Here is an 11,270-nt window from a genome sequence, read left to right as displayed (position 1 = left end):
TTAAATATTTAGAGAGAAGTAAAAATCTGACACACTAAATTGGACTTAATTATTTTCTCTAAAACTACTCTCCTACAATTGGATCTAATAAATCCCATTGTCTATCTTACCAAAATTATTGCTATAAGGCATATGACTAGCTTTATTTTAATTTTGTTAGTGAGAAACACTTACATTTTCTAGTGCTTCCATCATTTGTGTTCATTTCATTATCTCTATTCATTAAATCTTATTTTTCTTACCCTTTTCTGCCTACCATGAAGAAAAGAGGATATAGTCCAGATAGATACTGTCTAGTTTTACAGAAAGAGTGCCAGAGTGTTGCAATAACTCAATGTCTTTTCTGATTAAATGTAAGTAGGTGACCAAATTGTATTGATGTCAAATATTAATGAAACATTAAAATGTGAAATTCAAAAAAGGTTATTTGGATGGCTAGGAGGTGTGTCTGCAGCTTGGGTTTATAGATGCCGTAAACATCAGAAGTTCGGATTAAAGACCTTCCTTAGGCAACTTAAAGAAGGAACGGAGTTTTGTTGAATAATGCCTAATCACAACTGTTTTGAGCTACAATGTACCAAAGTCCCACCTGTTATTCCTCTGAACATCAACAAAGGTATTACTATTCAGTTGATGGCAGTGAAACCAAACAGAGGCAATGTGTACAGACTTTGAAGTATGATACTCACTAACTAAAATCTATCTACAAGTGTTGACATTCAAAGTTAATTATTGTGATAGCTGCTTCTTCAACTCTATAAGCTATAAATTAATTATGCACTTTTTTCAAACTATTCTATTAAATTGCTGGCTGGTCTACTGGGAGAATCATTAACAAATGTAGATAAATCCTGCTGTTCCTCACCCTGGAACACACACTTAGACCTTTCCATGAGAAAACAGGCCTGATTGCAAATCAGAATCTGTAATTTGAAATACTTATCAGTGTTATTTTCATTTAGAGACTCTATTTTAAAACACTGTGTGTTTTGTTTATCCACAGCATGTAGACACATATTGATATGCCTCTACCATTCAGCAGTCAAAATGAACTTCTGGAGATATTCATCAGTTCTACCTGCCCTTGAGGAAGGCTGAAAAGATCTTTTAGGTTCTCCTCAGGCTTCAAGGTAAGTATCCAGGAATCTACAAAGCCTACATTTTAAGTAACTATCCCAAATATAACCATAAATTGGGTTAAAATCTGTCTTACCATATGGGCATTATGCAGGAAATAACAGGAGAAAAAATAAATGTTTAATTTATGTGTTTTAAGAAATTCAGAAATGACCTGCCCATTTGCTAATCCATGTGTTAGACTAGCTTTCCTTCTTATATTAAATTTCAATTGCTAATTTGATGTTAATTCATTAATATTAATCCAAAACCCAACATATTAAAAAATCATCATCTTCTTCTGACCCGTGATTAAACTAGTGTTACATAGTTTCTCATTTCATGTAAACATCAATTTTCATAGTCACTCACAGAAGAAATTTGTGTCATATTAAATTATTAGTCTCACATATATTCTACATTCAAATAATTTTCAAGTCTTATTAAATGTATACTTTATAAATTCATTTTTTATTCCTGCACTTAACACATATTTATCAAATGTCTACCATGTGTCAAGGAATGTTCTTGCAATAGGCATTTCTTAGGAAACAAAAGAGCGAAAACTTCCGCCTCCACACTGTTTTTACTCTGGTAGGAGAGAAAGAGATACATAAGGATTAGAGAAGTAAGGAAAATGTGCGGTTTATCAAATGGTGACATCTACAAGAGGAAGAGGGACAAAGGTAGAGTAATGTGAGATAAAATGCAATTTTTGTAACATCTTAATTATGTTTAAACGATTATTATGTTTGCTCTACCATGAGAGACTGTGGGTTGCAACAAGAGGGCAGAAGAAAGCAGAAATAAACAAACAAAAAAACCTTTGAAGGTTATTCTAAGAATCTGAGTGAAAGTAATGGTGGGTCAAGCAAGTTGGCAGCACTGAATGTAGTAAGAAGTGGCAAGATATTTGCAGTCTTTATAAGACTTAAGAGAAAGTGCTAATTGATTGAATTCTAGAAAATAAAGAGTAAAAAAGGATCAAAGATAAATCAGGGATTTCTGGCATCAGCAACTCAACTAGAAAACTACCATGCCTTTTACTGAAATTGAGGAGAGTATTGAGAGGTGAAGCCAGCTGGACTTCCTGGGTCAAGTGGGGACTTGGAGAACTTTTCTGTCTAGCTAGAGGATTGTAAATGCACCAATCAGCACTCTGTAAAAATGCACCAGTCAGCACTCTGTGTCTAGCTAAAGGATTGTAAACGCACCAATCAGCACTCTGTAAAATGGACCAATCAACAGGATGTGGGCGGGGCCAAAGAAGGGACTAAAAGCTGGCCACCTGAGCCAGCTGTGGCAATCCGCGTGGGTCCCCTTCCACACTATGGAAGCTTTGTTCTTTCGTTCTTCATAATAAATCTTGCTGCTGCTCACTTTGGGTCTGCACCATCTTTAAGAGCTGTAACACTCACCGAGAAGGTCCATGGCTTCACTCCTGAAGTCAGCAAGACCACGAACCCACCAGAAGGAAGAAACTCCAGACACATCTGAACATCTGAAGGAACGAACTCCAGACACACCATCTTTAAGAACTGTAACACTCACTGCGAGGGTCCGTGGCTTCATTCCTGAAGTCAGTGAGACCAAGAACCTCCCCAGCCAAGTGGAACTATGAATCCAATAAACCTCTTTCTTTTATAAATTGTCCAGTCTCAGGTATGTCTTTATGAGCAATGTGAAAACAAAATAATACAGATGTTCACATAAAGACAAAATTGCTTAATGATGCATCTGTCAGAATATATCCCTGTCATTTTGCAAGGCATGACTGTATACAAAAACATGTCAATGTGAAGGAATGGATAAACTGAAAATATATGAGAGATTTACAATAATGAAATGGATCAGCATCACTAGGAAGGTGGAAAAAAAAGAGTGGCAAAGCCTCAGACAGAAGGAAAGCTTCTCCTTTAATTATGAAAAGAGGGAGAGGGAAAAAATGGCCAGAGAAAGGCAACTTTTCTAAATGTGGTATTAGGAAGTTAAAACAGAGCATTTGGGAAAGAGCGGTGAGGCCTTGTTTTATATTGGGGGAGAAAAGGACTTAAATTGTGTTGTATAATGTTGGATCTTGTGTGTGTGTCCCATTTGGATGTGGCAGTCAGCCAGAATAATAGTAGAATTTATTGCAGAAAGGACTCATTTATTCTAGGTACTACACTCTTCAGTAAATGAGAGGGAGTTATAATATACTTAGTAAAATAATAGTGACTAAAATCGTGTAGTTGGAGGAATAGGCACAGCCAGATGGCATAATGCTCAAAGGAACAGATGCTTTTAACATGAGGATGGAGCAGCAATGATCCTGAAACTACATTTGGGAGTGAATTGGATGTAATCTCTGCTTCCTAGCACTAATGTAGGTGGGGTGCAGGATAATGAGGAAGCTGTAATAGGAGTTATATTCTTAGCAGGTAGCTAGATTTTAGTTAGTGCAATGAGATAAGGGTAAAGTATAGTGAAAATATTTAGGTTGTGGGAGAGATATTTTAGCTAAGAATGTGAGTTCCAGAAAACAAGATGACACATTTTGGAAAAAAAGAAGTACAATGTGAGAAAGAATTGAGATAAAGGCAATAAATATTTACTATATAAAAAAAATCACTGAAGTGTTTACTTCCAAGGAGTTAGTTTTAAGTAGGTGAATTATATTTCAATAAAAATAATTTTTGAAAGAATAAAGAAGAGAGAGGACTAAAGGTGCTGTCATGAATAATGATGCCAAGAGGGAGAAATCAGCTGAAAACAATTTTCTCAAAGGGAAGAATTCCATCCAAAACCTGAAGAAGAGAGTTTGCAAGAGAAAGATTTGCAGGAGAGATTCTTCACTCTCTCTGTAGTGTTGGCTCAGCTGGCTGATAGGGAAACTCTGAACACTGACAGGCATATTACCATGAGGCACAAAATAAAAAATTCTGAAGGAGGTCAGAAGAAATAAGGAATCAGACACACGCAAATGACGTAACAAAAAAAGTTCGTGGATGTTTCTAGGAGCTTTATTCACAATTGTGAGAACTTTGAAGCAACCTAGACATCCTTCAGTAGATAAATGGATAAATAAACTGTGGTACATCCAGACAATGGAATATTATTCAGGGCTAAAGAGAAATGTGCTGTCAAACCAGAAAAGACAGAGGAAAAATAAATGTGTATTATTAAGTGAAACAAGTGAATCTGAAAATGTTATGTACTGTTTGGCTCCAATTATGTGACATTCTGGTAAAAGTAAAAATATGGAGATATTAAAAAGTAAGTCGTGGCCAGAAGTTAGGGGAGTGGGTGTGGGGAAGGATAAATGGAAAAATTAAAGAGGATTTTTAGGGTAGTGAAAACACTCTAAATGATACTATAATAATGGGAACATGACTTAGTAACATTTGTCTAAAACCCACAGAATCTACAACATCAGGAGTGAATAATGTAAACTATGGACATTGAGTGATGGTGTGTCAAATGAGGTTCATCAATTGCAAATGCAATACTTTGATGGAGGATGTTGATAATAGGGAAGGCTATGCATGTGTGAGGCCAAGAGATATGGGATATGTCTCTACTTTTCTCTTAATTCTGCTGTGAAACAAAAACTGCTCTAAAAAATAAAGTCTTAAAAAATGTATTCATATAGCATCATTATCTCCCAATGGGTAAGTAAGTACACTCTTGCGCTGCAAAAACAGAGAAGCAGATATTGTACATCACATGAAATGCATAAGCTCCTAACTTTTTTTCTTTTGTGTCTATCATAAATTTGTACTGTCCCACTGGAATTCATTCTCTATAGATGGGATTCAAATCAGAAAAAAATAACAATATAAAAATATAAAAGAACAAGGATTGCAATATACTTTTGTATATATCATCTATTATCAGCAAAAGAAAATACCTATTCTGTTCTAAGTTTAGTGTTGAATTTTGAATAGTGGAGAAAAACAGAAAATGAAGGCAGCCCTTACTGACAAATATTCCACGGAGATAAACCTGAGATGCTACAATATGGCAATTACATTGATATAATAGACAATAAAGCCACTGTAACAAATCCCGGGAGTTTCAAGAGGAGGGAGGAACACCCTGTTATCATGGAAGGATTCACTTCATGTGAAATTCATTGAGTCTTACGGGCTGTGTGTTGAGATTTTGTTATTTTAATATAGCTAGGTTCTTTTTTTTTTTTTGGAAGTCTTAAAATGTTATCTCAAGTTTTATTTGAGATTTTTTTTTTGTTTTTTCTTTTTTACAAATTGACACTGTACAAAGAGCTTAAATGGCCAGTTAAACTACTGCCTTAAAATCGTTGGCTTTAAGTAACAGAGGTAAAATTTCAATTCACATCAGAGCTTTCTAAAATGGCAATAGTACAAGCATATGACTTTCTCTAGTATCCAAAACCTGTTCTGGCTCTCCCTTGGCTAGAAAACAAGACAGCCTTCTAAAGCTGCCATAATGTCCTAAAATGCTTTCAAAGAAGTTGGTATACTTCATTCCCTTGCTTACCTTGGTAACACTGGACTAATCTGAAAATGAAGAAAATTCATTCAATAGTAACTTAAACAGTACTAAGTTAGCTCTGGACTTAGAAGGTTTGGTAAAGTTGATGACATTCAGAATAAGGTTCTCAGAAGAAAAGCAGTTTTCCAAAAATAGGCTAAAAAGCCTATATTAAAGAAAAAATGCCAAGAGTGAACTGAATACTTAAGTTTATCTGTTCCTAGAAGACTATGAGCAACACAATGGGAGCTGAAACACTACATATAATTTAGAATGCATTCTCCCAGAGCAAGTTTATAAGGTTTATAGAATAGTAATGGCCTTTCTAAATTTTCACTTGATGTTTAAAATTTTATAAGTTATTTATTATGTCATCAAATTAAGCCAATTCCATTAATTATGTACAAGTAGGAATAACTTCAGAAATGCCTTGAAAAAGGACAACGACAGACCTATAGACATAAAAAGTCTTTGCAAAGCTCATTTCCAAATCTATCAAATCTCAATTCCTCTTAAAATAAAAGACTAAACACATGTTCAGCCATTCCATCTTATTCAAGTTTAGCATTATGACAGAAATCTTAAAGGACTGCATTGTTGCTAAACACTGTCAATATTTCTTATATGCACCATTTAGACTATACCTTATTTTTTTTACTTCCCTTATAATATTAAAATAATGAATAAATATGGTCCTTTAGTTAAAGTCTTCTACCTTATCTTAAGTGAAATATAAAATAAGGTAGTTTTATTAATTTCTTACTAGAATTGGCTTAAAACCTATTTACCAAATATGAAATAGTAAACTTTTAAGTTTTACCCAGAAAGCAGAAGTATTCTGATCCACTCCTAATGTCTACATAAAATATTTCATCATTTTAGTTAAGTTTATGACATTTTTTGGACTTGTATTAATGTTGTACCTCAGAAAAAAATCCAATCAACCAATTACAGAAAGTATGCTTAACTGTTAACCTTTTGAAAGAGGCAAAAAAAATTATTTATGAAAACCTAAAATAATCTGATTAACAATTGATGCTGAAAAGTTCTTCAAAAACTGAGGAATAATAAATGTAGTTTTCCTGTATTTCGCCTACTATTAATGGAAAACAGAATGGCAAAATTTCTAAATGGAATACGTTAAAAGTACAAGAACCGAAAACACTGGTAACATTTCCTTTGCTTTATGACAGAAACATTTTCTAGGATGAAAACAGTGACATGTAGTTTTAGAGAATCTGAAATTTCTACATTCAAGAATGGAATTAAAATTCAACGTAAGGGGAAAAAAGCAAAATATAGCTAGTGGTATCGAAACGTTAAATAAAACCTCAAAGGCAAGGATGGCTGCTGTTTTGTTCCAGTCATTGTTTCACAAAATGTTGGCTGTGTCATAAGTTATCTCCTGTGCTTTCTATCAACCGAGGGCTGCTGAAGTACAAGACTTTTCTCGTAAAGGAATTGACATTGAATTCCTTTGTAAATTCAATCTCAGTTGAAGTGTCGAGCAAGGCGGGCAGATCTATAATCAGCACAAAGTTGTACGAAGGAGTGAAGTATATTCTTGTCCAAATTAGCAAGTTGTTCTCCTGAGCAGACTTGCTTTAAATTATCTGGGGCAACTACCAGAAGATTGCAAAGAGCATGCAGAGTATCAAAAAGATGTAATACCATTGGAATCTTGAAGTCTTTGGCACACTTCCTATATTCAGCTACATCGCAAACTGCCAACATGCCACCCATATAACTGTAGGAATATTGTTGAAGATGCTCATAGATAAGTCGATGAAAACATACTCCAAGTTCCATCAAAACTGTATCCACATTCTTCCCATCCATGGAATTTTTAATCCTCTCCACTTGTTTTCTTACATAAGCACAGACTTTTACACAGGCATTAGTATATTGAATCAAAACATTGTTTTCATCTTCTGGCTTAAAATCTGTTTTCTTTTGTTCTGCAGCCAAAATATGCTTCATCTGTCCAATCATACAATTTAATGTCCTATCAATGCCAGTATCCAATTTCATCTCCATTTGTTCAATTATTTCTTTTTTCTTCTGAAGGCATTCAGATAACTTAGGAGAAGAGCTTATTAGTGGCATAAGGTGATCATTAAGCTGTTTGTCAAAAAGATGAAAAATAGTATTGGCCTGTTGCACAACATCCAAAAAATAAAGATTTGCATTCCTAGAATCTGAAGAGGGAATTCCAGCAAGTCTTGTTTCCAAAGCATAATCAATATGCTCAATACATAAAAATTCCATGAGAATGGTAAAAATTCTGAAGGCATTCCCTGGCAAGTCAGAAGGATCAGAGAGCCTATGACATCTTTCAAAGGCTTGTTGGGTTTCTTGTAAAAGATTAACCACCACTTCTTGGGATAGAAAAGTTTCCCCATAAGTATCCATACTTGGCCCAAGTGGTAAGTTGGTGTGTTGTCTAATTCTCTCCTTCAAATCTTGAATACCTCCTGTGCCAATGGATCTCTTTTGATGGTTTTTCGAATCATAATAGCGCTGTAGGATCATAGCACTTCTGCTTTTCAAATATCTAGTCTCCACCTCAATATAGTTCTCCAAATAGGAAATGAATATGGATTTGATAAGCTTAGACGAGAAAGTCTGATATATTTTGAATAAGTTTAGCCAGGACTATTTCTGGGTTACTGAAGATATCTCCAACTCGTTTGTTCACTCGTTGACAGAGTATTGCAGCATCTTCAAATATATCATTTCTCAAATAAGCACCCACCTTGCACTGCTTTGTATAGACATCAACACAAAGGGAATAACCCTTAAAATGAAGTAAAACTGCTGCTACTTCTCTCATTCTGGAGATTTCACCTCTTCTTTGAGCAGCGGTAAACTCCTGAATCAGCTGGCATTCTAAATCATGGTATTTACTTGCAATTTTTGACTTAACTTCTGAAAATCTATCAAAAGGTAACTCTTGGGCAATTAGGTGCAACTTCTGAATGATGTCTGCTGCTTCCTTTATATTTTCAGAATTTGTAAAAACATCAGATTTCAATTCTCCATCCAGAAACTCATTAAAGTATTTCATCAGTTTCTGAGCCTGCACTGCCCATTGTCTGGGTGTGTTTACCCCTCTAACTGGTCTCCAAGGTGAGAGACTTTAGTTGCTACATAGCTAATGTGCTCATCTAGTTCTTGGAAATGTTGGAAGGCAACCTGATTGCTTTTCTGCAGCTCTTGTACCTTCTTGGCAAATTCCTTGGCTTCTTTCTGACATTGTTGCTCTAGTTTCTCTCCTTTGAATCCTTTCATCCATTATCTGGAGTTCCTGAATATGATTTACAAATTCTTCCAATAATCTTTTAGGATCAAAAGCTTCAGGTCCACCTCTAGAGCCTCCTCCTGGGGTTCTCCATGCAAGACGTTCAATATATTCATCTGCCACAAAAGCCTCCTCGAAGAGCTCGGCCATCGTAGCCATCCGGGCCGGCTGAGAGGCTCGCCCCGCACTGGATGCCGTCTCCGCGTCACATGCTGCGCCTCAGAGGCGCGGCGCACAGGTGTCCCAGGCGGGGCGGGAGAGCGGCCATGAAGCGAAGCCGCAAACGCCTGTCAGCTGCCTCCCGGTGCCGCCCGCGCTGCTCCTAGGTTCTTTTTAAGAGGTGTTTTAAAGGTGTTTCACTTTATACTAGAATAACACAAAGAAAATATTAAGAAGATTTAACAAGAATAAAATCATAATTAATTACAGGCATATCAGTGTCTGAGAAGATGATGTGTAGAAAACTGATTTGAGCAGGAATAGTCTGTATTACAGTTTCCTGATATGATTTTCTCGGTAACTGGGAGAACTAGACAGAAGATAAAGGTAATAGGGTTTAAGAGTAGAAAGACAAAAAGTATATATATTTTCTGGAGAGAAAGTAAGCAGCTTGGTTATATAATTTATTCATAAGTCATCAGTTCAAAAATATTAAATTATATAAATTAATAATCGATTCATAATTCAGAGAGTCGTTGTCATTCTTATAATGTGGACAGAGTAAAGACTGTCAACTTTTCATTACCCATTGTTTAAAGCCCACTGGAATTTTAGTTCATGTTTTGGGCATTGATCAAAAGATTCTGACTTTGATTTCCTTGTTCTGTAGAGTTAAATTATTTAGACTCTATTTTCATCTTAAAGGAAGGCCTCAAACACTCATAGGAATCTTGCAAGATTGCCCTCTAGTACTATTTTGTTTATCCTTATCCATCCTTGGATGTATCTTGGTTAGAAGAGAAATAAAAAATATTTCAGAACTCCCTGTACCTAGTGTATTAGTACTTCAATAATAGCACACAGGGCAAAATTTTAGAGATGGCACTTATGTTCTCAGCAATTTGATAATTTATTACACCTTTAGGTCTATTCCAATTTTTCAGTTGTAAAGTTTTAAAAATGACATTAAGTAGAAGGTTTATTTTCATTGGTGGAAAAAAAAATAATAACCTTCAGACTTTTGTGACTGGTAAGGTTGCAGAGCAACAGTATAGATGTTTATAAAAGTAGAAATGGCATAGCACTTCACCAATAGAACTGCTGATACAAGTGGGAATGAGACATGCTGCAGAAGAATATACTGTGTGGCTTTTTATGTACAAAACAGCCATTATTGAATTTTTAGAAAATTGTTAATATTTTAAAATTATTAATAGTTTTAATAATAGATTGTTAATATTAATGATTAATATTAATAATATTGAATAAAATCCATTGTTATTTCATATTAAAAATACTATTTATCAATATTAGTGTCATTTAAAGTAATAAAATTATTAATAACAAATTTTTTTAAACACTGGAAAATATTTTCTGACTGAGCAAACAATAGAATAGAATAAAATACAGTTTAAAATATAGCTTAAATAAAGTGAAATGAAATAATAGAGTAGGGTGAGAGGTGAAATTACAGATAACTCAAAACTCATGATTAATATCAAAGTATATCAACATTTGATATCTAAGGAAGAGAAACCATTTTGGAATAAATTCTGATTAAAGCTTGGCAGAAAACTGGGATAAGATAGTGAAAGAGTTAAAAATATACCACCCTGGCATATTGACTGTTATGAAATAAAGGCACTTGAAAAATGGCAAGCACAAAAAGATCATGCTGACCTCTTTTCTGTTTTCTAAAAGCAGAAGGTGAAATTCCTGCGTGAAAGCCACTCTCCCTATACAAGAAAGAAGGCAACATCCTTATCTTCAAGGACAAGAAGTCAAGGCTCAGGGCTGAGACAACACTGCACAGACCTTGTTGGAATAACTCATCTTTTCAGTCTCTCACATAATTTAGTTGCCTCTTCACAGCATACTACTCTGTGTCCAATTCAGTAAACAGTACCCTTAACTTCTTCTTTGGTCTTCACTTCTTTATGAAGGCTTCTATGCCACATAAAATTTGCATTACATAAGTGTGTATGCATTTCTCCTGTTGGTCTGTCTTATGTCAATTTAATTCTCAAGCCCAGCCAAAAGAAACCCTAAAGGGGAAGCTCGCCTACAATAGCCTTTCCTTCTGAGCTCATTTGGCAGCAGCTAATTAGGATATTGCCTTATTTGTTCTCTATCTGCCCCCAGCGGCAACAGGCTGAGAAAGTGAAACTCTTACTCCTGGTTACTGCAGAAAGGGGAAATA

General features: G+C 35.1%; 1 pseudogene; it reads right to left on the bottom strand.

Moving 5' to 3' along the window:
* Positions 1–6,904: 6,904 nt before the first annotated feature.
* EXOC5P1 (exocyst complex component 5 pseudogene 1) lies at positions 6,905–9,234 on the bottom strand (annotated as a pseudogene).

Source organism: Homo sapiens, chromosome 4 (genome assembly GCF_000001405.40).
Source record: "Homo sapiens chromosome 4, GRCh38.p14 Primary Assembly".
Taxonomy (NCBI): domain Eukaryota; kingdom Metazoa; phylum Chordata; class Mammalia; order Primates; family Hominidae; genus Homo; species Homo sapiens.
This window is presented reverse-complemented; position numbering and strand designations above follow the sequence as displayed.